The sequence below is a fragment of the Homo sapiens genome, chromosome 8 (assembly GCF_000001405.40).
Source record: "Homo sapiens chromosome 8, GRCh38.p14 Primary Assembly".
NCBI classification, from domain to species: Eukaryota; Metazoa; Chordata; class Mammalia; order Primates; family Hominidae; genus Homo; species Homo sapiens.
In genome coordinates this window covers 90,055,926-90,083,923 of record NC_000008.11, presented here as the reverse complement: position 1 = coordinate 90,083,923, position 27,998 = coordinate 90,055,926, and the positions used below count along the sequence as shown (strand labels likewise).

At 35.0% G+C, this 27,998-nt stretch overlaps 1 protein-coding gene and 1 long non-coding RNA gene across 3 annotated transcripts; one reads left to right on the top strand and one right to left on the bottom strand.

The window, feature by feature from the left end:
• The first annotated feature begins 1,044 nt into the window (after positions 1 to 1,044).
• Positions 1,045 to 25,316, top strand: CALB1 (calbindin 1). 2 transcript variants are annotated; one of them, NM_004929.4, is made up of 11 exons: positions 1,045 to 1,305; positions 1,822 to 1,898; positions 5,477 to 5,551; positions 14,687 to 14,770; positions 14,870 to 14,926; positions 17,949 to 18,026; positions 20,463 to 20,518; positions 20,604 to 20,643; positions 20,771 to 20,824; positions 23,224 to 23,295; positions 23,638 to 25,316. In NM_004929.4, exons 1-11 carry the CDS (start codon positions 1,227 to 1,229, stop codon positions 23,749 to 23,751), a joined length of 786 nt encoding a protein of 261 aa, NP_004920.1. In that variant the 5' UTR covers positions 1,045 to 1,226; the 3' UTR covers positions 23,752 to 25,316. The 2 variants fall into 2 exon arrangements, with proteins under 2 accessions (NP_004920.1, NP_001353724.1); NM_001366795.1 differs by lacking the exon at positions 5,477 to 5,551.
• Positions 17,642 to 22,733, bottom strand: LOC124901976 (uncharacterized). Its single transcript, XR_007061004.1, has 2 exons — positions 22,668 to 22,733; positions 17,642 to 17,885 (listed from the first exon to the last, which is right to left on the bottom strand). It is a non-coding gene; the product is annotated as an uncharacterized LOC124901976 (long non-coding RNA).
• Positions 25,317 to 27,998: the final 2,682 nt, after the last annotated feature.

Below are 27,998 nucleotides of genomic sequence, written 5' to 3'. Positions count from 1 at the left end.
TATATAATTAATTATATTAAAATACATAACACATATACATATGTATATATAGTACAGAACATATATACATATGTGTGTATACATACATATATATTACATATATATATATATATATATATATATACATAACATAGCATACATTTAGTTAGATAGCTTTTCCAACTCTGATGGTGACTTCCAATTTCTGAAAAATTCTCCAGTAGGGGTTGCTTGAAACAGAAAGAAGGAGACGTGTGTGTTAAGGCGACTGAATGGGGCTGTGGTGGTAGCACTAACGTACCTACTTATGAACCTGGTCAGATCCTTCCTTTCTCTTTGTTTTAGTTTACTCACTCCTTCTAAACTGAAAGGCAGTAAACTCTAGTATCTGTAAGATGACTTCCTTATCTAAGATTTTAAGGTTTTATAATTTAACTGTATTACTTTCCAATTATAATTCTACTTCATGCTGAAAAGAAATCCATAATCTAGCTTTTTTCGTGTTGGCAAGGTTAGTTCATAGAAACCATCTTAAGAAACATTGACATGATGGCACAAAATAGAGTGATTATTGATAGCAATCAACTCATTGTATACATTAATCAAATTATTCTAATGCGTGCCAAGGTTTCACATGCTTTTTTTTTTTCAAACAAATACTGAAAAGTCTTGGAGAAATCACACAAGAATATAATAATCTTTTATGTGATTTTACCCGTCATCAGCTTTCCCCTTCTATCTGAACATTTAAACCTCTCTAGATAACAAGAGTTTTACTATAATATTCAGGAATAAGATTCTTCCTGGACTAGGAGGATGTAGGGGGAAATGAGCCTCTGTTTTCAGCATCCAATCTCTGAGCAAAGGATCTCCCACCACCTGCTGCTTCCAACAAGCCCAAACTCTCGCTCCAGCTAGCTTTCCTGGGAACAGAGCAGAAAACTGGAAGGGAGGGGAAGAAGGCTGGTGAGAGCAAGAGGCGGGGAGTGAGGAATGGGAGGCTGGAGGAGGCGTGGCCCGGCTTGGGGCCGTCGGGATAAATACTGAGAACTGGGTGCGGGGTGTAGGGAGAGAACTCTGGAGGAACGCTGAGCTGAGCAGCACCGAGGACAGCGCCCGGCAGCGCCCGCGCCCAGGTCTCCCTCCGCAGCCCTGACTCGCGCACACGCTGAGCTTTTGCTCACTCCCCCTCGCGCGGACACAGACACACGCATATTCACACACCCAGACACACACCCCGCTGTACAATGGCAGAATCCCACCTGCAGTCATCCCTCATCACAGCCTCACAGTTTTTCGAGATCTGGCTCCATTTCGACGCTGACGGTGATTATCTTCTCTTTTTAACTGTTTCAAGACCCGTTTCCATGCCCCTTCCCATTCTTTGCCCTTTTCTGAGCCTCCTGATCCCATTATCCCTCCTTTCTATTCTTTACTTCTTCCCCCTTCTGCCTAATCTTATCTTCTTATCTCCCCGACTGGCCGCCAAACTGTCAACCTGAAAGTTTATATTGTTTCCACCGTAATCCCAAAACCTTAAACTTTTGTCTTTCCAGGAACGGTAATGGTAGGAGAGAGAGAGCAGGGATTGGGGAATGCTGCCCCCCCAAAGTTTCTGTGGCTGCGCTTAGCACCCCAACCATCCTCCTTTGTCCTCAGTGGATCTAAAGTTTGATACCCCAGGAGGGGAGCGCTTCACCGTCTGTACACTTTGCTGGTTAATCAACGTCCAGGCAAGAGAGAGCCTCTCGGGTCGCCAGAAAGATAACTGTCTTGGAAAGTGAACGGGAAAGACACTTGGAATGAGATATCTGACACCTGGGTGCCTCTTTGTCTTTGCAGGAAGTGGTTACCTGGAAGGAAAGGAGCTGCAGAACTTGATCCAGGAGCTCCAGCAGGCGCGAAAGAAGGCTGGATTGGTAGGTTCAAGTTTGCGAAAAAGAAAAAAAGACTTTTAACCCCCAAATTAAAACATTCTTGTGTTTTCACAAAAAGCCAGTAGCGTAAAGCGCTTTCTGGGTAATGTAAACGTTTATTGACTGCGAAAGGCAAGAAAAAACACTTTTCCAACTCGAATACAGAGAAATGGGAAAGGGGAAAGAGACTGAGAAAGAGAGAGGGGGAGAGAGAGAGAGAGAGAAGGGAGGGACAGAGAAGGGAGGGAAGAAGGGAGAAAGGGAGACAGACAGAGAGAGACAGATTTTCTAAAGGGAAAAACCTTGCTATCTGAAACTGGAGCTTTAAATATATATATATTCTATACTAGTACTTGCATTAATAGGTCTTAAAAGGGAACTGTGGGTGCATGAGATTCTTTAGCGGATCACCACCTCTACCACTGAGTTTGATTAGGTAATTTTTAAATTCTCTTTTACTGTGTGAGAAATAAGGGGGTGGAAATGCATTTCTGCCCCTTGGTGGTCAAGAAACAGATCTGCAGATTATGGATCTCTTACTCTATCACCAATTATTATTGTTGTGATGTTGATGTAGTTGGGGAGATGAGAAAACATCTTGTCCTCACTAAGGGTAAGTTGCCCAACTTGCAACCTAACAGTGAGAAAGAATTTAGCAAGAAAAGATCTTCATTTCTGTTGAAAGCAAGAAACCCAAAAGGTAGAGAAGTAAAAAGTAAAACAATTTTAAGAATTTCATGTATTGTAAAAAAAGCAAAGTGATACTCTGATGGGCAGCAATTGATGGTGTTTTGAAAATGGCTATGTTCGTTATTTAAGCCATTAGTTAATTAAACAAATAACCATTCTTATTAATTATAAATGACTCCCTTTGGGCATAAATTAACCTGTTAAGAAAATATGTTGTCAGCATAAATATAAAATACAGTCAGCTTTTAAACATAGATGAGATGGTTGTCCAGAGGAAAATGGGTTAAAAATTGTACTACTCTATTGAGGTTTATGTAACACTGCCTTTCAGAAGGCAGTGTTGAATTGGGATGAGTTACACGTTAATGGTCTTTGGCCTTTTTGACTACGTTTAGAAAGAGATTTTACACTACCAATGATGTATATATTATATAGCAGATCACCACCTCTAATATTGAGTGATATATATAAAATTTAATAATAGAACTTTTTGCCCTATCTAAATTGAAAATTGTGTAATATACATTTCTGTACAGCATATTCAAAAGAATCCCAGAGGGCTCTAAATGTATTATAATGCACTATAGAACTATCAGTTACAAAAATCATTGACCAAATTGATTTTAAACCAGATTGTGCTCTAGGGATTGTTTTACCCAGATTTAATATTATATAATCTAAAAGTATAATAGAACGGAATAAAATAGCATAAAAATGTTTTATATACTCTCCACCCTCCCCATGTCTTATATATTGCCATGTAAATAAATTTATGCAATACTGTCATTATAGCTTTATATATCTTTGGCTAATCTAATAAAAGCAATTATCTTCCTCATTTAAAAATACATATTTTAAAATCAGGTTGGAAAAGTCTTACTTTCCATAAAATTTAGAATTAAAACCTTGGAAGATGCTTCCAGCAGGTAATGATTATATTTTATTTTGTGCAGAAGTAATTTTAATATTGAAATCTATTTTCAGCTTAGAAATTTAAATATTCATGAACTTTAAAAAAATATTTTTCTTCCTCTGATTTTAATATTTGTACCTTTTTGTAAGCAATATCTTCATGTTGGAGATTTAGAATTTAATTATTTTTCTCTGTTTTGGAATATTCAAAGCTCCAATTATTAGACTATAATGTAATGATACTAAACAAGCATAGTTATAGGATTATATCAAGTTGCTTAATACCTTGATTCTTGAGCATTTTTCTGGAATGTAAATACAATCTGGATTTTTCTGAATTTAGTATTTTTCTTGATTTGGGTAGTTAAAATCTAAATCAAGATGTGGATTCAGAGTTTCATATAGTAGATACATGTTTCATTATACTACTAACTTCATTGCATTAAACCTACTTGTATATATTTCTTCTCTTTCTTTAGAACATAAAAATTGCCCTTATAAACCAGGCTTTTTGCATTTCTAGCCATAGGATAACAGATTTCATTGCATTAATGGAAACATTGTTTGGCTTTTCGTATTAATAACATGAAATTTCAAAATTTTCACTAGGTGAATATAACATTAATTAAATATAACAATGCAATATATTTTCAGAAACTATCCTTTTACACTAAACATAGTGTTTGGTCTTTGTAGTTGCACTCATTTTTATACATTTTTAATTGGTGGTGATTATATGTTTTGCACTGTTTAAAAAATAGATTTTGACATACTTGTCAGAAACTTCACAAAGTAAATGTCAAGTCTGCTCGTGAAAGTAGTGGTATTACACCATTTTAAAATTTAAGGACAGATGCTTTGGTTTTTGTTTACGTTAAGATGTATGTAAAAATAAAAAAACTGTAGGACCTGATATTCCCACTATTGCCATGGTTGAACACTTTCATTTTCTTACAATTGTTTCTATAACAAAATTAGATAAATACAAATTGTAATTTATCCATAGTAAGTTTTATAAAGACTAAAATATAATTATATTGCTTTGTTATTATTTATTATCTTAGTTCAACTAAAGATGTCTACATTGGTTCCAAACGGCTTTTATAAATACTAGTAATAATGATATTTAGTCTCAATATAGCCCTTTAATTATATTAACCTATCTATCCCCAAAGCAAACTTGTGTGGTAGATAATACCACCATCTTGTTAGCTATGATGAAAACCGAGACCTTAATTTGCTTTCCCAAGGACGTAGAATAGAACATTAGTAAGGGCTGACCTATTTTAAATAGGCTTCAGCTAATGCAACAGGGCTATTTTAAATGGGCTATGTTGGAGACCCAAGGGTAAAAATTAAACCTCCTGAATACCAGTTCTATGTTCAGATCACTAGTTTATAGTTCATAGCTCTCTAATCTATTTAATTTTTAAATTTATTTAATTGATGAATGCCTCTTTTATGCTTAAAACAATCTTTGCTTACAAAGTGAGTTAATCTTTAACATTCACATTTTTTGCTTGTTCAAAATGAAAACATATATTACTCTCCATAGATAAAACATTATGTTAGAATGAGAAAAATGTTGTAAGACAAGATAGTGTAGCAATATAAGGTAATCTTTAATGAAGCAAGCATTGTTTAAAATATATTGATGGTGATGATTATGTTAAAATTCACTAAAAGTTATGAATGGAATGATTCTGACTACACTTTCAAAGGATAGCATAGTCTCAAAATTAATAATAGAAGATAAATCATATTAATTGAGAAATAATCATGATTACAACTCTTTCATTTGGAACTAATAAATACTGTGTATCAGTTATGCCTTTAATTTTTTTGAGAATAGTTAATCATTATGCATATTTCTAAATGGTTCTAATTTTGGTTTTTCTTTGCAGTAAGTTATTAACACCATCACAAGCATAACTGGTATTTTTTTAACAAACCTCCTACCTGCTTTTATATAATTTTAGGAGTTATCACCTGAAATGAAAACTTTTGTGGATCAGTATGGGCAAAGAGATGATGGAAAAATAGGAATTGTAGAGGTAAGGAATTTATGCATTTTTCTGATTTAATTTTAATAAATGAGTTTCAATTTTGAAGTTGTCTTCAAGTCAAGTAAGATATAGCAAGACCCATTCAGTACAGTTTATTTTACCTAAGTAATACATTATCTTCTGTTCAGAAGTATAAAGTTAAAAAATGTTCACAAATGAAAAACATCTAAGAGTATTCCTAACCCAGGGCCTAAATTTCATATATTACAAAATTGAGACCATGGAAAAACAAAATTGTTTGCCTCTGGTCATACAGCTATTTGCTGGCACAGGTGCAGTTAGAGGAACAAGTCCCTGACTTCTACATGAGTATCAATCACATTCCATTACCCAGCCCCACTTCCATACAGTGTCTAAGCACATGGTCCATCAGTATTTCTTATCACTTAACAGTGTAGACTTGACTTTTAAAATATAAAATAAAATGTTTGCAGTCCCTGTGAAATATTTACAGTCCTTATTTTTCATGGCAAAAAGCTGCATCCTGGTTTGACAGTTGGCCTTCGTAAAAACAGAATAATTTAACTAGAGTGAGTGAATATTTTATGATCTGTTATAGGTACAGATTTCATGTGAATCTTTGAAAGTTAAAACTGTGGGTGTCACATCTTATCCTTTCACAGTGACTTTTCCTATTAAGGGCAACTTATTTTTGTCTGTGAATCAAGGAAGCAAAACTGATTATGCATCAATTCTTCTGCATTCTCAGATTTGTGAAAGAGCTGTTGCTTCCCTTATATCTACGTTTCCAGCCTGTGGTGTCTTAGCCTCTTTCTTTATCTCAGCAGCCTATTAGAGAAATTGGGTGGAAGTCTTTGTCCAGAAAAATTAATTAGGTCATAATTTGAAATATGCCAAATCATAACATAATTATGTTATTTATATAGTGTTTCTCAGTGTATTAGATTGTGAAGTATTCTGGATCTCAACAACATTTAGTAATAATTTACCTTTGATTCAGAAAAATAACCTGGTTTTCAAATAATTGATCTTATAGGACACTTGTGATGCCAGTGTGAAATACACTTATTTTTAAACAGCTGATACAAATAGAGTTAAGAGAGGACATACTATTATTATCTTTGTAATTAAAAATTTTCCCTGGAGTACATACATTCCCCTTTACCCGTGTGTAACTCATTACTATATAAATAGATAATAGTAATGGGACTTACAGATAGACATATAGGCCAACTAATCAAGGTATGAAACCATCAAGGATAAGAAAATAACTTTTAAATTAAACATAAATGAGATGAGGTAAATCTAATTATTCAAAACTAGTTTGGAAATATGACATCAGTGAAATTACGGATTGGCTCTTTTAGAGTTTGACATACTTTATAATCCTAGTTAAGGAAAACCTGTCACCTTACATTTAACATACTTCTCCTTGAAGGAGTCCAATGGACTCAGCTATTTATTCAATTTCATTTCTTCAGTGATACTAGATTGTGCAGTAAAAGGCATTGATCTGATTCACATGGATTTTACATTTTTATAAGGATAAAATGGATGAGCATGTTTTGAATCCCGGTTTTACTTTATGTGATACAGTCTAATCATTTATGACTTATTATTTCAGCGCTATTTTGAATGAGAGGTTAGAGGCCATTTAGCAGACGCATTGTCCTGGAGGTTTAATGAAGGAAATTTCCTCAGAAGTTTTAGATAAGGAACTGTTACAGGAAAGAAAAGGCTTTCTGTGGAAGGAAAGATATAGAAATATAGGTAACAGAAGAGGACAGAGAAGGCGATGAAGTCTGAAATAAAGAAGTGAGAAGCTTTTATAGCAACAAAAATAATAAAATAATTCACATTTGTATAAAATAAAATTGACAAAGTGTTTTCAAATATGTTATCTCATTTGATCATCATAACTAGAAAATTAAGTAAATTTAAATATAAAATGAAGATCTATTTTATAGTTATAGCATGTGAAGCTTCAATAGGATTTGCCTAAGGTCACAGAAAAAGTAAGAAATAAATGGTAGAACAGTCAGAACCCAGCCATGTTCCCCCAAACTATTCTGCCTTTTTTAAAATAATAAATAATCTGTACATTTTCTGCATTAAAAGGAAAACTTTTCAAGCTTCAGTTGGTTGATTACTTATGGCAAGTTTCTAAGTTTATCTGGGATGAATAGGGATGCACAAAGTGTTCTGCAGAGAAGTTATTTGGGCAAAGCACTCGAAACATAATTTCAGCAGAACTTTTGATCAGCTGAAGCAGAAATAATTTAAAGGGAGACAAATGAGATACATATAAACTGATTGGAAGGTTTTAGTGTTCCAGGACATGGAACTTTTTGCTAGATGGGACTCTTGGGAAGAACTAGCCAACATTCCTTATTTTAAGGATGAAGAAACTGAAGCCCGAAAAGGTCGAATGATGTATCCAAGGTCCCATTTGCAGGGAGTGACAAATTCTATATACAGACTTAGATCTCATTCCGATTTTAGAACTCTTTTCATTAATCTTAGTTATCAGCCAAGACATAGGAGTAAGGGGTCTGGAAGAGGGCATTAGTTTGAGAGAAGAGAAATGGAGAATAGGAGGAAAAATAGGAGATTGCTTCAATAGTTCATATGCATGTTGGTTCACTGTGTGATGGTTAAGAGTGAAGAAAAGAGAAATTCTGAAAATAATTGGGAAATAGAAATTAAAAGTTACAGATTACATGTAGAAAATGTGGAAAGGGAGAGTAGGAAATGTCTGAACTTATATTTTGCTCTCTACTGTAACCAGAAAGCTGTATTAAATGAAGTTCATCCTTTCTTTTTCCAATTTGACATATATCACTTGCTTAGAAATCCTATAAATAATATAGAACACAAATACACAAATTCTAGCCAGCTATAAAGGAATGCAAAATCCTATGTTTTCTACAATTTATAATAATCTACCTACTGACATCAAGCACACATTAACTTTGGTGTTCAAAGGGAAAGGAAGATGGATTTACTTATATGTTATGCTTACTTAATAGTTATACTCACAAACTCATCAAAATCTAATCAAAGTAAACCAAATGATACTCATGCAGTGGTCTGCGTCCCTGATGGAACAGGCCAAATTGGTTTGTCTCTGAAAGATGTCATTCAAAAAGATTAGAAAATGTAATGGTTAACTTTCAAAGTTCTAACGTGACAAAGTTAGCTGACACTTTCTAACAACATGCATTTGCTACCTAGAAACAAATATGTTTCTTTCTGAACTTTCTAATTTCTTGCCTTTAAATAGATTTAAAAATCCACACAAATACAGTTTAGAAATAACGAGATTGTTAACACAAACTCAAGACAGGAGCATCGAAATTTTGAGATAATTTAACAAATAATGTGATGGTCAAAAAAATGTTCCGAATTTATTCAGACTAATAGCTCTACTGCAAAGAAGGCTGATTAAAATAATTAAAAAGGAAGACTTAATGATTTAGCAGATAATAGAGCTTTCTTCTCTGGTGTTCACATGAAATATAGGTATTTCTCTTAAATGGGTGTCAAATCTGTAAGTTTTTCACCTGATCCTTTTGGCAATGTGTGAGAACCTACCATCCTCTCCATTCTTACTGTTTCTATCTGTCCAGGTCAGTGCATCCATTGAAAAACAGACCTAAAAGCTATTTTAGTCCTAAAACTGTAACAACCCTCCCAGGGAAGCAAGCTCTTCTCCAGCCTTTCCCTCTTTTCATCTGCAGTGGGATTTGAGCCTGTGAGTTTAGCCATAGTGAATATAATTTTTCATGGAAGACTACTTTTCCACCACAGAATTTTGGGAAATGACTGACAATGAAATCTGATTTTAAAATTCCCTCTGCATAGATCTTTCTAAGTGATTTATTAGGGATACTTTTTTGATTGAGGATTTTAATGGAGGGTGATGAAGGTAAGGGACAGAGTCTCTAAGCCAAGAAAGTCAGACTCTGCCTTCAAATCTGGCTCCAACTGCAATCTATGTGAGAGCAGGCCATTTACCCTCTTTGAGCCTCTGTTTCCTTGGTAGTGAACAAGGATGACAATGTATTAACTTCATAAGGTTGTTATGATCATCAGTATCAAATAATACATATTGAACAAGTAGATTGACCCTGGCACACTGTAAAAACTCAACAAATGTATTTGCAGTTATTGTTACATATAAAAATAACTTACTACAAAATCGACCCCATCTTCTGAATGCCAAGCCTTTTCCCCCACTTATTATATAATTTGTCAAATTCAAATTATTAAACTGAAAGAGCTTTACATTTTTGATAAAGTTATTTACCTTTCAAATTTCCTGGACTCACTTCTCACTGGCTAGGGAAAACGTTTTTCTGGTTCTCAAGTGAAAAAAAAAAATGAATGCTTGGCTAATACATGTTCAAGAATGTTAACATACCATGATTGTCTTTAAAAGTTAGGAATTCTGCCTCATGTGCACTGTGATATAATTTGTATCACTAATGAAGTTGCCTTTCATGTATACTCTCCTCACAACTAGTACTTAGCTTTATTGTTGTTTTTATCTCCTGCTTTGAAATTGTCAGGGGAAAAGTTGTTTGAAAGTATCTGCCTCCCTATATGGTTCTCACTAGTGGTGACTGTGGTCACCAGCACAGTGCCTAGTATTTAGTAGCCAAATGAGCCACAGCAAGGGATTTCAACTTACTCCAAAACATCAGGCAAAGTCTCTGTATTACGCTAGAAATAAAAGAGAGATGTAAAGTCCCCTGTTATGGGTAGAGTTCCCTGGGAAGCAGATCTGAGTGGAAGAGTAGCAATGAGCAGGTTTATTAGGAAGTGCTCTTGGGATCAATACCCCGGGACAGAAGTGAAGAGAATAGATCTGGGCAGAGGGAGAAGCTGGGCTGTGTCACAGTCTCAACGGGGACATCAGCTGACCCTACAGTGAGTTCTGAAGCTGGGATGACCCTTCAGGAATGTCTCTAGTTTTGAGTGAGACCGTTGGGCCTTTATATCCCCATGTTGATCAGTCATAGGATGCCACCTCCTTGGGGACACAGCTGTCTTCAGCCCAGGTATTCCTTCAATGGGGCCTCACAGGTGAGGCTGCAGCAACACTCCCAGCACTTGAAGGGAGTTCTGGGTAGCATATCACAATGTCCACCCCAACCCCTATTCACAGCTCAGTAATAAGTTATTGGAATTATCTCCAAAGGAACTTTACCTCCATTTATTTACAGCCTATCCTGATGCTAAACAAATAGTTAATTACCTTTATATATTGCTTCAATAAAATATTTACTAAAATTTGTGCAGTTTCTGGGCCACAAAACAGTAAATAAGACACAGACCCCATCCTCAAGGAGCACGTAGACTAGTAGGGGAGACAAGCAAGTAGGAAGTTGTTGGTTTTTTTTCCTACTCTTGATAACAAGCAATCAGTTCTCAGAAATGAAGCTCTGAGGGATTCTACTTATTTCCTTAGCTACCTGCCTTCCACTCATCCCCTTGATATTCTTCACTCTCTTTTCCAACTCATAAAAAAGTTTTGGGAGTTCATAAAAGAGCAGGCAGGCAGCCCAAAGATTACAGAATCACCAATAATATTGTAATAAGAAGTATTGGATACTTCTATAAACAGCAGTGACTTAGCATATCTGAGAATAAAGCAACTCTACTTAACACCTCCTATATGAAAGACCTTTGGCACATTATAGACATAGTCATAAAGGCTACAGCTGGAGAATTACTGTGCCCAGCTCTGAAACTTGAATATTGATTCATACGCATTGAGAGAAGAACCGAGAGACAACACAGGACCACCACATTGTGAAACATATCTTAAGAAAGATTTCTTTACATTCACTATAGCCACATCCTATATACACATAATAATTTTTATATGCTTAAGACTCCTTTCTAACATTTATAAAATAGGATGGTATCATGTTGAGTGTAACATTAATGGTTCAGTGAAATTAAAACAGATTGAATATGTTGCACATTGATGTAATCTGTATTTTTTAATAATTTAAGTATAAAACCAAAGCAGTATGGGCAAGAAATACACATTTATAGTAGACATGAAGAGCATTTTTACTATCTCTGTATCTGACATTCAGGAGACCTCTCAACTTTATGTGAGTTACATGAACTTTTATGTTGAAACAAAGATGGCAATTTCCCTAATTTTACATTTAGTGATTGCTTACTAGTTCATTCATTTGTTTTTTTCTGTTTTTATGTATTCAGTGAATTTGGAGATGTAAAATATTTAAAGAAAAATTATTCTTTTTTGTTCAAAGCAACACACACTAATTATAAAAATCCAAACAAAATAGAGAATTATGATGAAGATAAGCAAAAAATAACTCAATTCTTTTAAGTAGATGTTTTTAATAAAGTAAAATTACCAACCAATCCGCAAGCATTTATTTCAGGCATATAACATGCTAGATACCATGCTGGGCATTCAGGGGATGCAGAAAAGTATTATTCCCTGCCCTCTTGAAATTAATGGTCTAGAGGAAGGTCACGCAAAAATTGTAAGAAGTATCTAACAAGTTGCATACTAATAAATAAAGGACGAGTTGGGGTTAGCTATTTCCTGTTTCCTAAATGAACACTTATATTCATGAAAAAAACATAATAAAATGTGGCTAGACCTTCTATATCATGCAGAACCCTCCAAAATGTATACATAACATCCATTTCCATTGTTCAATCTTTCCCTCAAAATGTCTGCCTCTGATATATTTTCTTCTCTTTGATGTGTTTTATTGTCTTCCATCTTTGTTCCCTCTTCTTTCTTGTGTTACTTTTTCTTCTCTTCCCATCTTCTTTAAAATCCTCAAGGAGATATTCTTCAGAATCCCTCCAGGAAAGTATTATTATAGAAGAGGCCAGGCTCAACAAGACTGGAGGGGTGTGGCTCTCCGTCCTCCAGAGCCCCTCTCCATGCCGAGCCCACCCACTGCCATTCTCCCTCCCTTCTCCTCTTCCCCCTTAGCTCTGGGGGGAGACCTACATTCTAGGCCTAACTTACCAGATATCTGGATACTTTATAATGAAAATCATTTATAGCTACTTTCCACTAGGAGCCCACTTACAGATGAGGAAAAAAAAGGGATTTTTATAAGGAAAATGGTGTTCTAGATTTCAATGAGTAGAAACAGCTTATCATATTTAAACTATCTCATTGTCACGTGTAAAAATCACCAACAAATTCATTATTTGCAGTCCAAGAGCAAAGAAGCAACCAAACCACTCTATTACTGTCTTCAACAAGCATGTTGTTGACTTAATCTACTAATAATCACCAAATTAAAGTGATTTTCAGTCTGCCAATCATCAGGTCATCATTCAACCTCTTTGGGCCTTAGCATCCTCAATTGAAAAATTTGGTCTTGAATTAAATTAAATTATGTTATTTCTGAGGTATAGAATTTTATGATTCAAGTATTCAAAGGAATTGAAAGAATGCAAAGGTCACAGAAGTATGTCCTGAGTTTAATAAGGGACCTGGATAACACACACACACACACACACACACACACACACACACACACACACACTGCAATGATGCAAATGTGTTTATGTACCAAAAGCTAATTACATTTTTTTAAAAGCACTGGCACATTATAAACCCCCATTTTTACTTTTTAGATATATTATCATCTACCCACACTAGTGACCTTTCTTTAAAAATAAATAAGAAAATGTTTTATAACTAGGTCATATTAAACATGTTGACATAAGGTTTGGCCCTTTCCCTTAGTCTCACCCACATGTGTGGTGCGTATAAATCGAGTGGTTTTAATTTGAAATATTATTTCAAAAATCTAAACATAAGATAAGCTAAAGGGCATACACAGGCATAAGAAAAATTAGATTCCTTGCATATAAAGTAGAATAGTGCATTTTATATTAAATATTAAATTTTTAAATGAACCTAAAAGGATGAATTTTTTAAAAAAAGTTATGATAGTATTTTCTATAACTTGGTAGAACTTTTAGAACTGACTCTGACTTTAAGGCTGATCTAGACTACAGGCTGTTGGCCTAAAATCCACGGATGAGGGTCCGTCCATGCCCGTGATCTAGGGAATTCATCAAATCCTGGAAATTAGATGAAATATAGTGTGTGTAGATTCATTATTTAATGGTGAAAATGCAGTGCTTCCAACAGAAGGCGTTTTGAACCCAATATATTCAAGAAACACTGGCTTCTATTTCAAGTCCTTGTTTTAGTGATGAGGGTACTGAAGTCCAGAAATGGCTCGGGGTTGCTGGGGACCACAGCTAATTAGCTACTGTGCCAGAAATAGATCTCACATCTGTAGTGGAGCCATCAATCCAGCTCCTTCCTTCTCTGTACGCAATAGATTAGTCATAAAATGGGATATGGAATCCTTTTTTCTTCCAAAAAAAAAAAAAAGAGAGGAGGATTGAAGTTTTGAAATGAGATCTAAGGGAAAATGTCATAGAGGCATGCCGTGGAGATCAGAAAATAAACCCCAGCCCTGGATTCAAGCAGTGGATGTCCTTTCAGCAGAAAGCAACAATTTGAGAACTGGCTTTTCCTATTCCTGTTTAACGCCCCACCATTCATGGTGAATTTCTTTTCCATTGCCTTACGATTGTCTTTGGTTTATCTTCTCTTGTATCTCATGGTAGGCTTTCTCCTCGGGCTTGGGAATACATTTTCCCCCTTCACTCCCCTCCCCAACATTTATGTTCCTCATGGTTTCTTTCACTTCACATGAAATTTATGGCCCCCACATGTGCCTTTCTGTGACCCTGTGAGGAGAGAGGAGAGAGGCATAGAACACTAATCTGTGGCATAGAACACTTGAAGGGTTCAAGCCACGAGGATGAATCTGCCTGAATGTCCAGCAGACAAGAAGTGGCCACGCTAGTTCTACCTGAGCACAGGTCTGCTGCGGCCACCTCACTGGCCAAAGAACCAAGCACACAAGGGCACACGAGCGTTGGAGAATCGACAGCGCTCCATAGGAAAGTACCAGAAAGGGAAAGCCGACTCTAATGTTTTTCCTCTCCTACTTTTCTAGCCTGTGAGGGAACACGTTGAAGAAAAACTAAGCAGCAGGTAATGGCAGAGACTTGTTTTTGAGCAACTTACAACACGTTTCTCTCTTCTTAAATCTTTTCCAGTTGGCTCACGTATTACCCACAGAAGAGAATTTCCTGCTGCTCTTCCGATGCCAGCAGCTGAAGTCCTGTGAGGAATTCATGAAGGTATAAGAAAGCTGCCCCTTTAAGAAAGCTGCTTAAAGTAGGAAAATTGTTCCTTTTATTAAAAATGTGTTTGTTTTCCTTATCCAAAATTACTTACAGACATGGAGAAAATATGATACTGACCACAGTGGCTTCATAGAAACTGAGGAGCTTAAGGTAAGCAAATAAAAACTTGTACTAAGTTTTTCCTTTCAGATGCAATTATGAACTAAGAGTTTCCTAGCTTTTTAAAAAACCTCCCACAAAAGAAACTAATGTTGAACAGTGTCACATTTTCACCTACTCTTCGACATTGTTAATGAAGTACCAGATCAAAAAAGCATCTTCAATTGCTTCTGGAAATTCTGTACAGTAATGCAAAAAATTAACATTTTTTGTGGTGTACACAAATATAAGACAGACAGACAGATAGAATTATAGATAAGCCGAATAAGCCATTCTTTTATTGAAATTTGTAGTTTTAGTTCTCAAAATAAACACATATATATATAAATTTTCTTACAAAAGAAAGAAGAAAAAGTTACTGAATAGCTACTGTATGCCAACTACTTTACACATAATGCCTTATTTAATCTTTGCGTAAGTTGTATGACATTGTATTACCCCATTGAGGAAGAGTTGAGAGAAGTTAAATGATATACTGAAGGCCACACAGAAATCGGACAGAGCCTTGATGTGCAAATCCAGGCTTGTCTGCCTCCAAGGCCTGTAGACATTCTACACAACCTACTGACTCTCAGCAATGATGATAAAAAATAAAAAATCTTCTAAAATTAAACTTTTGAAAAACTGCAACTTAGAGAATGAATTTATCACTTCGGATATCACAGAGGAGGATATAAAGGAAAAGGCAGAGATCTGAAATCAAGTCTTAACTCATTAATTACTATATCTTTCCAATTTTCTTTAATCTTTAAAATGAGTGTAATAAATCCTTCCTCTCAGGCTTATTGTGAAGCTCCAGTAAGATTCTGCACATGAAAGCTTTTGTGACATGCAACATAAAATAAATTATATTATTCATGAACTCAATTTACTAGCCTTTCAGGAATATGGAAGTATTCTTCTCATTTCCTCAAGCCGACCCCAAAACATCGCCATCTGAAAGACCCTACTTTTTCTATTTTTAGAACATAGAGTGACTAAAATATAAGTGAGTTAATATTTACTGACTATCTGTCAGGCAGAGTACAAGGTGCTTGAAGTGTATTTTAAAATTTAATCCTCACAGAAAATATGCAAGGCAGGTATTATCACTCCTAATATAAAAACAGTGAGATTGGAATGCAGAGAGATTTGATGATTTTTCAAGATTACACAGCTGCCTAGGAAGAGAACCTGGATTTGTACCTAGAATATCTGATAATGCTAAGAATGATTCCCCACCCCACCCCCACAGCACTACATGCTTTCAGACTTCATTTATTAAGAGCTGCTCTTTTGCTATGTGGGGAAATATGAATATCAACAGTTCTAGTCATAATTCAACATAGTTTGAGTAGCATACAATTTTAAAGATGGAACGGGGACATTTGGGCCATGGCAAAATGGCTAAAACATACTCAATTTTATCCTCTTGAAAATGTAAACGTTTTTAATGTGAAGTCACTGAAAACAGTGTATTTTACAAACTTGCAGCTCAGCAATCCACAAGGTGACAGTTAAGCCACTGTGTTTTTATTTTATTAGTTAGACCAAAAATATTCTTTTAAAGATCCTTTTTAGTTCATAATGAAAACCTTAGCTCATTTCCAATACTGACCTCTAAATATTCTAAAAGCCTCCTTCTTTGTTCTAAATTTTATTCTCAGAAAGAGATTCTAAATAGAAGTCCTCTTCCCTGGGGAATTTTGAAGATAAGTTGGCATTCTTTTTTAATGGATCTTTCAAGAAAGCTAATTTTAAGATCCATAATAGAGTAAAACATCACTTGCTCTCAGACACGACTTTGAATCTCTGCGTCCCAAGGTTTCTCCGAGGCTATTTTTGTGACCACCATTTTAGTCTCTGATGAGGCTTTTTAACCCAATTAATCTCTGACAAAAGCCCCAGAAGGCTCAAAAATAAAATTCAACCCCAACAGATAACTTTGAATTTTCCATGCTTCACTTTGGATTTGAAGTGGAATATTTGAAGTAAAAAATTTTTATCAAACTAAGAAAAGAGTCTCTTTCCTTTAAAAAAGTGGCATCAAATCAGCCCAGAACTGGAACATTTAGGAGAGAGATAAGTCATTGCTAAATCAAAGAAATCTAATCCTTCAATAATATCTGGGCACAGTATCTGCCTAGTTTTTCCTAATTGCATTAATTCATTTTCTGAGAAAATAAAGGAGTTACGAATGAATAGCACTAAACAAAATGAATGACTATTATAAAGTGCTTACACTGTCACTTATATGGCAAATCTTTGTAAAGCTTTTATTTATGTTTCTGTTAAAAAAACTTAAATTCATTCCTAAGCTCCAGGTGTCAAGTTAATAATCATCTTTTTTTCATCCTTCCCACATTAATCTCTATTTTAATATGATTCATATATCTTTCAAAGATTCAATGACATCAACTGTGGCCAATTTTGTTAATTTAAATAGTCAGTGGAAGCATTTTAACCAAAGTGCTTTGGACTGCATTAGGCTAAAAACTACCCAACTGGCCCTCTGGAGAAATAAGCATCATGCTGGCTATAAACTAATGTGTAAATACAGCCTGGGGAGCAGAAAATGGATTTGAAATTAGGGATAGATCTCTATTTGGTTTACTGATATTTTTTCACAATATTCCAAAGGTATAAAGGCCCTTGTGTTTCTTGCAGAACAATCCAATGAGTACTTGTGAAGATATCAGTAAGAAGAAATGCATCCATTGGGCTGGCTGGTTTTAAAAGGTTTTATTCAGGTTAATTGAAATCATAAAGTCATGGTAATGCACAGACAATGATCAATCAAGTCTCAGTAAAAAGCAGGTATTATTCCTGTCAAAGGTAGTTTCATTGCTGGAATGCCAGGAGGACAACCTGGTTTAGTCTTTCTTCTATTATAAGTTCCTCTACTCACCTGCTTCTACCCCTCAAAAGGAGACTTTCTTTGCATTCCTGGTATGTCCTGTTCCAAGGCATTCTGAAATGAAAGTAGACGATATATTATTAATGAAATTAATCTAAGTGTTCTTTGTTTTAACAGAACTTTCTAAAGGACCTGCTAGAAAAAGCAAACAAGACTGTTGATGACACAAAATTAGCCGAGTATACAGACCTAATGGTAAGACTGATCTTGAAAAGATTGTACCCAAGAGCTCATGAAGTAGTATGATGTTCTTGCTAACTCCCAAGGCTACACAGGATGAAATAAATAAACGGTGGTGTGGGCATCATATGCACATAGGTATCATTTCATTTGAAAAGTGAAATACTTAGGGATGCTTACATCTTGTCATTTTGAGTTCTGCAGGCATTGGCTTTAAGACTCAACATATGAGCATTTTCTTCCTTGTAGAGCTGTGTAATTTTTATCTATCAAAAGATGACTTGTTTTGCTTCCAAAGCCAGTGTAATTATATCACTAAATTATATAACTTACACATATATAAGGTACACTATATATATATAAATTATATCACCAAAAACTCACTTATTATAGAGTTCCTAAATCCATTTTTATCATAGTTTGGGAAATCACACTTTGTTGAGTTTAAAGAGACCATCTAGCTACTTTATTAATTAAGCAAGTTAAAATGGGTCTCCTTCTTTCTTTTGATTTTTGTTGTTTTGGGGTTTTGTATTGGTGCTTTGAATGAGGAAATCTAAATATGCCCTAAGGTTGATGCTATGGTAAATAGTGACAACTAAGATCAATTATAGAATGTTGATAATAGAGCCAAGAAAACTGCTTTACACATAGGCACTTACTGTTTCAGGAAAAAAAAAAGAGCAGATAAATAAGGTTCCAGATAAAATAAACCAATGTCTATGAAGTTAGTTTCTATTGGACGAAGTTTGCTCATTTTGACTCATCACAGAATTAGGATTACCAGGAGATAGATATATTTATACAGCTTTCAGTACTGTGAAGGTACTGTGAATTCTTACTCCATGGATTTACATCAATAAACCATAAACATGGCTCTATACTATAAAAGCTACTGTTATATTAGATTGAAGAAGGAGTTAGACTTTTTAATTACTCTGAGAAACAATCTAATAAAGGGTTTGATTATATTTGATGTAACTGAGGTTTGCTTTCAGCATCTCAGCTTACTTTTATCTGGGTTGGGGAGGGGGAACTACTAGAACTTTACTATTGCCTTATTCACTAACTAGTGTTATTTATTATAAGGTGGGGCTAAGCTTTAATTTCAAAACAACCAAAAAGGTTTTCATGGTCATCTTTAATTCCTCATTACATCTCCACTTACAATAGCACTAGCAAACAAATGGGGGAGAGTTTCTTGCTATGTGTCACAATCAACAGGTCTAAGCTCTGAATAACTTTTAGGTAATGGACAATAACCTACATTTATCAATTTTCTATTTTGTTCCAATCTTAAGGGATGCCTATTTAAAGAAAGGCTCCTTTCCAGGTAGAATATTGAAGCAGCCTTTCAAAACCCACTCAGATGGGAGTTTCCCTCTGTTGGATTGGCCTGACATATCTGATTAAATGTCATAAACCAGTTCAAATCCAGGAAGCAAATTAATCGAGAGCTAATTAAAATTTAAATATATATGTTGGGAAATATTTCCCCATGGGCACAAAACTAAGTAATCGAGCTGTCCAGTATCTTGGTAGGTAGTGTGACAATATCAGAATTTATGGTCAATGGATTATAAAATGTTTTGTCAGCATGGGATCCTGAAAAAAATCTGCCTCCTACAAAAGATTCTTAGAATACCTCGAACCACAGAATGCCCTTCCTTTCCTTCTTAAAAAGATGTCACTAAATCTATATCCATTATAACACTGGACACATTCTGTTCTTTAAAAACAAAAATAATGTTAATTTTTCACATATTTAGTGTTCATTTAGTATACACATTTTATATATTTAATGTAATTCATATATACTACTTTGGTATAACATATTATAGCAATAGTTGCTACTATCTAAAAAGGTGAATGCTTCCCAAATACGGGTATGAGTGTGTTTACATCTGGATGTGTCTTTGTGAATGACGTATATATAAGTGCAGTGGAGAGTTGGAGAGCTTTATGGAGTTTCTAATACCCAATAGAAAATAAAACAATTCAAAATTATTCAAAAATTCTGTTCTGTAAGGATTTATTTGTCATCTGTTTTCTGCTTCTGTTTGTGGTATTCTATGCTCTAAAAGGGTGAAATAAATATTTATTTTCTTATTGGAGAGATTCCAGATGTGCAAAAACTGTCAGACACCATCCCTCCCACATCTTGATACACATATGAACGTATTTGCAATAAAAAAGTGACAGTATTCTAGAAACATAGCTAAAACCACTATTTCTCTGTTTGACTATTCTATATTATCCTGATAAACTCTAGCAATGGACACATTACAGAATTGAAAATTTGCATTGAAAGTTTTAAAAATGCTAGTTTTTAAAATTTTACTGCATATATACAAGTAGTTGATAACTCAAACAGCTTTATTTTGAAGTTCATCTCCTTCATGCAATAAATTATTCCTCAAATAGCTAGAATAATGGCATTCTGTCTTTCAGCTGAAACTATTTGATTCAAATAATGATGGGAAGCTGGAATTAACTGAGATGGCCAGGTGAGTTTAGGAACCATGAAAAATATTGTAAGTGGATCCTTTTCAAAAAATGTAATATATTAATATAATGTTTTTCTCTCAAAAGGTTACTACCAGTGCAGGAGAATTTTCTTCTTAAATTCCAGGTACTTAACTTTTTACTACCTTAAATAATATTTTCCTTGAAAAGCTAGAATGTGGGAGACTTGTCAAGGGAAACATACTGAAACATAGTAATAACATTTTAACATTTACTCTCTTCTCTATCTTTAGGGAATCAAAATGTGTGGGAAAGAGTTCAATAAGGCTTTTGAGCTGTATGATCAGGTAAAAGTTTGTTACTTTTTCCTTTCTTTTTTATTGAAGTAAGAACACAACATAAGATCCTCTTAACAAAATTTAAGTATAAAATACAGTACTGCAAACTATAGAGACAATCTTGACAGCAGATCTTTAGAATTTATCCATCTTATATAATTGAGACTTTATGCCCATTGATGAGTAACTCGTCATTTCTCCTTCCCCCAGCCCTGGCAATAACATTCTACTTTATGAGTGTGACTATTTTAGATACCTCATACAAGTGGCATCATGCAGAATTTGTCTTGTGCTGAGATTGATTGATCATATGCAGTTCTATTTTTAATTTTTTGAGGGCTCTCCATACTGTTTTTCATAGTGGATGCACCATTTTTGCATTCCCACCAATGTATACAAGAGTTCCAATTTTCTTCATTCTCACTAACACTTGTCTTTTATCTTTTTGATAATAGCCATTCTAATAGGTGTGAGGAGATATCTTATTGTTAATTTTTATTTCTCTGATTAGTGATGTTAAGCATTTTTTCATTACCTGTTGGCCATTTATATACCTTCTTTGGATAAGTGTCTACTCAAGTCATTAACCCATTTTTTAAATTGAATTATTCATTTTTTGCTATTGAGTTACAGGAGTTCTTTATAAATTTTGGAAATTAACCCTTTTTGGGATGTGGTTTACAAATATTTTCTCCCATTCTGTAGGCTGCTTTTGCACTCTGTTGATTGTTTCCTTTGCTGTGCAGCTTTTTAGTTTGATGTAGTCTCGCTTGTCTATTTTTGCTTGTGTTGTCCTTGCTTATGGTTTCATATCCACAATATCATTGCTAAGAACAATGTCATAAAGGTTTCCCTTATGTTTGTTTGCTTCTAGGAGTTTTACAGTTTTAGATCTTATATTTAAGTTTTTAATCTATCTTGAATTTATTTTTTATATGGTGTAAGCTAAGGGTCCAATTTCATTATTTTGCATGTGTCTGTATAGTTTACCTAACACCATTTGTTGAAAAAAGCTATCCTTGTCCCATTTTGTGTTTTTGGCACCCTTATCAAAGATCAGTTGACTATAACATGTGAAACTGAGAGCTCATTAGTCTATGTTTCGATTTTTGTTTCAGAGCTATACTGTTTTAATCATTGTAGCTTTGTAATATATTTTGAAATCAAGAAGTGTGATGTCTCCAGGTTTATTCTTTTTTCTCAAGATGGTTTTTGGCTATTTGGGATCTTTTGTGGTTACATATGAATTTTAGGGTTTTTTTATTTCTATAAATATTGCCATTGGGATTTTGGAAGTGATTACACTGAATCTGTAGATGTGTTTGAGTAATATAGACATTTTAACAATATTAAGCCTTCCAATTCATAAACACAGGACGTCTTTCCATTTGTTTGTGTCTCTGTTAACTTCTTTCATCAGTATTTTATGATTTTTAGTGTATAAGTTTTTCCTCTCAGTTAACTTTATTCCTAAGTATTTTATTCTTTTGGTGCTCTTGTAAATGGGATTTTCTAATTTCCATTTCAGATAGTTTATCATCATAACTAATTTCTGATTGTTAATTTTGCATCCTACAACTTTATGGAATTTGTTTATTAATTCCAACAGTTTTTGTGAGGTCTTTAGGGTTTTCTCTCTATAAAAATAATATCTGCAAACAGGGATAATTTAACTTCTCTCTTTCCAATTTGGATGCCTTAAAATTTTGTTCTTATCTATAATTTGATTCTTCAGAATTTGGAAAAAACGATTATGAAAATTACACAAATAACTCCTTCTTTTCATAGGAAAGGTAATACGGTATGCCCAAATTACACAAACTCCTGATTCGAATCCCACACTATCATTTACCTGCTTTGAGACTTTGAACAAGATACCAAACTCATGTGAGCCTCAATTTCTTCATTTGTAAACAAGAGATAATAATAACACCACTTTGCAGGATTGAATGAGGATTAAGCTAGGTGAAAATATCCAGCAAAATAAAGGTTATTTGTGATGTCACTAGGTCACATCCTTTGCTTCTAATTTGTTTACTCCTGGACCTGTGAGCTCTAGCAGAACTCTGCCACACCCTGGTGTGACATAGAGCCACATACCTTCCTCAGCCCTCAGTTTCCTCACTTGTCCTAGAAGATATTATTAACATTAAGTGAATTACATGTGTAAGTACTTTGAAAAGTTCAAGATCTTTTACAAATGTAAGGTGTTGAATGAGAAGTAACTAATACCTTGCATATTTTACAGCTTTGGAGCAGCTAAAAACTTGGGTGGCCTGACATAACAGATTATCTGCCAAGTATGCAGTTGGGAGACTTTCTAAGGATTCCAATTATTTCCATTTTACTTCATTTCCCACTACTGTAGATGGAGTTGGTTGTATACTATTTTATTTCTCCTCCCCCAGGACGGCAATGGATACATAGATGAAAATGAACTGGATGCTTTACTGAAGGATCTGTGCGAGAAGAATAAACAGGTAACTTAGTTACCATGGCACTTACTTCTTTAAGCAGACTCTGTGGATCCATCCAAAACCAACAGCACATCCATTTTGGAAATCTACTTTAACAATTTATAGAGGAGCAGAAATAGAATTCAATTCTTAACTCAATTTGGTTCTGGCCTAAATCAGGGTAACTGTGATAAATAGATTTTAAAAACAACCTTGTGATTATTCACATTTGTATAAGAATTTAATCCAGCTCTTTTGTTAATGGATTGATGTAACAAGTAGTTTCATCTCACATTTTATCACTTGACAGTGGTTAATTAACTTCCATATTTAACTGGATTACAATGCCATTTATATTCTGTACAGGATCTGGATATTAATAATATTACAACATACAAGAAGAACATAATGGCTTTGTCGGATGGAGGGAAGCTGTACCGAACGGATCTTGCTCTTATTCTCTGTGCTGGGGATAACTAGAGTTGGTGGCCGCAACCACTTGCTAGTGATACACTGTATCTAAAAAATAACTGTGCACTATAAGGGAGTAGGCTGTATTTTCTTTTATATCTGTAAATTTAACTGCATATAGATAATTATCCAGGATGTGTGGCTCATTCTTTTCAGCTTGTTTCTATACTGTTTGTAATATACAGTTTTTGTAACCATATGATTGAAAAGAAGAAAGTCTATGCTTAGGCCAGTCAGTACACCCAATTTTAAAAAATAACATATTCTTGCTTTCACAAATATAGTTGAACAAGATTTCCCTAAAAATTCCACCAGGATTAATCTCTAAAATTCTAGTCTCTGATTTGCAAATGCACATTTGTCACTGAATAATGGAATTATGTATAACAAGCCAAACATTCTTATTTTAGACAACCATAGAACTGTCCCACAAAATATTTCTAAGCTTATTTCTAACTATTAGGAGGAATGTGCTTTTCCATCTAAAATACTCACCAAAATATAGTTAATTGTGGCTTTATGAAGTTAACAGTCTCATTACAGATTTAGTTTACCAATCAACAGCATGTCTACTGCTTGGATCCATACAAAACTATCGGTTCAAGTTGATGTGACAAGGGAAGGGAGCACCAGATGACACATAAATCTGTCTGATTCTATGCCTGTATTTCCAACAAACTTACTGTCAGAGAATATGACCTAAATCCATTTTCTAAACTGTTTTCATGTGTTGCAAATTATTCTAGTCAACTGCTGTTTTATGTCATACTCTGTGTAATCTCTGATTAAATTTAATATACTGCATATCCTGGTGTCTAGTTTGCATACTTCCTGGATTTTCTTTCTATGTAGAACTGTTCATTTCCACCAAGGGTATCTGCTGCCTCTGAAAATATTTTTTTCTAGCTATAACAACTCTATTTTTTACTACATAATTAAATTTTAATGTAAAATTCATAGCATCCTGATTATTGAATGTTATATCATCAATACTTTTGTGTATTCTGTGGATTCTATATTTCATATTGAGATCAGCATTCAAAATAGTTCTATTTCTATCTGCAAATAGTTTCAAATGAGTTTAAAAAAATAACATCTGAAAAGAAATGCTAATGTAATCATTTATCTTATCTAGCAAGAAGATTCTAAAACATTCTTTAACATACATCTAAGTCAGTTTCACATATTTGTAGCTAGAATATCCTATACTGGTTATAGTTGATATGTAACAGTTGGTGATTTTAGATTTCTTTGATTGTGAAACAGGGAGCTATGAGAGATGTGTCCATGTGAAATTTACAGTTACTGCCTAGGAGTTAATGATCGTTCTGGGTCAGCTTGAATGTCCCCATTCTATAAATTCAACACTTATTTTCTGAATTCATAAAAATAACCAAAAAATGTGAGCTATAATGTTTCCCTCAAGAACAAACAGAAACGAGATTTGCCAAAAACTAAAATTCAACAAATGATGTTGAGTGGGAGATTGGCTTTGCCTTTAGCGTGTAAATGGAAGCACTGCCATTAGACTGAATTTAACTACTAAGAATAAATAAAGAAGAAAATAACCTTAATCTCTTGTATTTGTTTTTTCTTCAAAATGTCAGCTGACATGCAATCTATGATGGATCCAGGTGGAAATGTAGGATGAAATTATTATGGCCTAAGGAATCTAAATAAACGTAAATGTGACTCAGTGAACTACTGGATACTTTGTTGAATTGAGGGGTGTCTCTAACATTAAAATTTACAAAGAAATCTCAAAGTATCCAAATATTTGAAGTTTTCTGCCCAACTGACATAGTCAAATATTTCTTTTAATTTTTTTTTTTTTTTTTTTCAAGATGGAATTTCACTCTGTTGCCCAGGCTGGAGTGCAATGGCATGGTCTCGGCTCACTGCAACTTCTGCCTCCCAGGTTCAAGCGATTCTTCTGCCTCAGCCTTCCGAGTAGCTGGGACTACAGGTGCCCGCCACCAGGCCCAGCTAACTTTTTATTTTTAGTAGAGACAGGGTTTAACCATCTTGGCCAGGCTGGTCTCGAACTCCTGACCTCATGATCTACCTGCCTTCCCCTCCCAAAGTGCTGGGATTACAGGCGTAAGCCACTGCGCCTGGCCCACAGTCAAATATTTCTTCATGAAAGATATCCAAAGGAATAACAGGGACATACAGAATTTTCCTATATTTAATTCATAGAAAAATAACTGTTCACTACCAAGTATGCGCCAAAACTCTACCAGGTTTGGCATTCTTACAGTAACAGCATGAGCAAAGAAAGAAAAACAACAACAACAACAACAAATTATGATAGGGAAATTTCTGAAGAGACTTCCTAGAGGGCTGTCAGGAATAACTGACATGAATCTAGCATCAGGACTATCATGGTAGACTTTAATTCCTGAGCACTATCAGACAAAGAAATTCCTACACCTCAGCTACATCAGTCACACTTACCTATAAATGACAGGTCTGCTTCCTTGAGCAGAGAAGAGGGTGAAGAATGAAAAAAATGAATCTAGATAGGCAAATATAAAATTACAGGCACAATGCCTATCTCATACCACAAACAAAATTCATTCCAAGTTTATTATCAACATAAATGTGAAACATATGTAAACAACACAGGAGAATAACTTCAATACCTCATGCATGAAAATACTTCTTCACATCCAATTATGAAGAAACAAATTGAAAAATTGGGCTCCATTAAAATTAAGAATTTCTGTTCAGAAAATGACTACAAACTTTAAAAAAAAACTATTAAGAGAGTGAAAAGTCAAATTTCAGAGTGGGAGAAGATATTTGCAACACATATACTTGACAAAGGCACATATCCAAAATATATTAAGATTACTCCTAGAAACCAACATTTAAAAATATAACCCAATAGAAAAATGTATAAGAAAGTTGAGGCCGGGCGCGGTGGCTCACGCCTGTAATCCCAGCACTTTGGGAGGCCGAGGCGGGCGGATCACGAGGTCAGGAGATCGAGACCATCCCGGCTAAAACGGTGAAACCCCGTCTCTACTAAAAATACAAAAAAATTAGCCGGGCGTAGTGGCGGGCGCCTGTCGTCCCAGCTACTTGGGAGGCTGAGGCAGGAGAATGGCGTGAACCCGGGAGGCGGAGCTTGCAGTGAGCCGAGATCCCGCCACTGCACTCCAGCCTGGGCGACAGAGCGAGACTCCGTCTCAAAAAAAAAAAAAAAAAAAAAAAAAAAAAAAGAAAGTTGAACAAATATTTCACTAGAGGATACCCAAATGATGTCCAATAACATATGCAAATTAATCAACTTTATTAGTAATCAGGAGAAATGCAAATGGCCAGATGCAGTGGCTCATGCCTGTAATCCCAGCATTTTGAGAGGCTGAGGCAGGAGGATCACTTGAGCCCAGGAGTTTGAGACCAGCCTGGCAACATGGCGAAAGGCTGTCTCTACAAAAAGTTAGCTAGGCATGGTAGCATGCACCTGTAGTCCCAGCTACTAGGGAGGCTCAGGTGGGAGAATCACCCAAGCCCAGGAAGTCAAAGCTGTAGTGAATGGAGATCGTGTCACTGCACTCCAGCCTAAGCAACAGGAGTGAGACCCTCTCTCAAAAAAAAAAAAAAAAAAAAAAAGCAAATTAAAACAAATGAGATGCCACCACACACTCACAGAATGACTCAAAGTAAAGAGAATTTCAATGCTCACTACTGGTGAGGATGCAGCACAGTGTAAGTTCCCAAACAGCTTGGTGGGATGTTAAATTGTGAATAGTCTTGGAAGCCATTTGACAGTATCTACTAAATTTGAACACAAGCATACCCTAAAACCCAGCAATTTCACTTCTAGGTATTACCAATCTAACAGAGAAAGGTGTATATATTTTCGCCAAAAGAATAGAAGGTTCACGGCAGCTTTATGTTTGGCATAGCCTCAAACTAGAAACAATCCAAATGTCCACTAAGAGCAGAGCTAACAAATAAATGGTGGTATATTCATATATACCTTATATTCTATGGAATATAACAATGAGAATGCATAAGCAATTATTACACAGAAAGAAAGCCAAAAAACAGAAGAATACATATTGTGTGATTCTATTTATATAAATCTCAAAACAGCTTAACGATGGGGTTAGAAGTCAAGACAGTGGTTAGTTGTGAGAAGGAGGAAAGGAATCGCGATGGTGGGCAGAAGGGAGGCTTCTGGGTTCCTGGTAATGTTCTGTTTCTTGACCTGGAGAATGGTTACCTGAGTGCATTTGTATTGT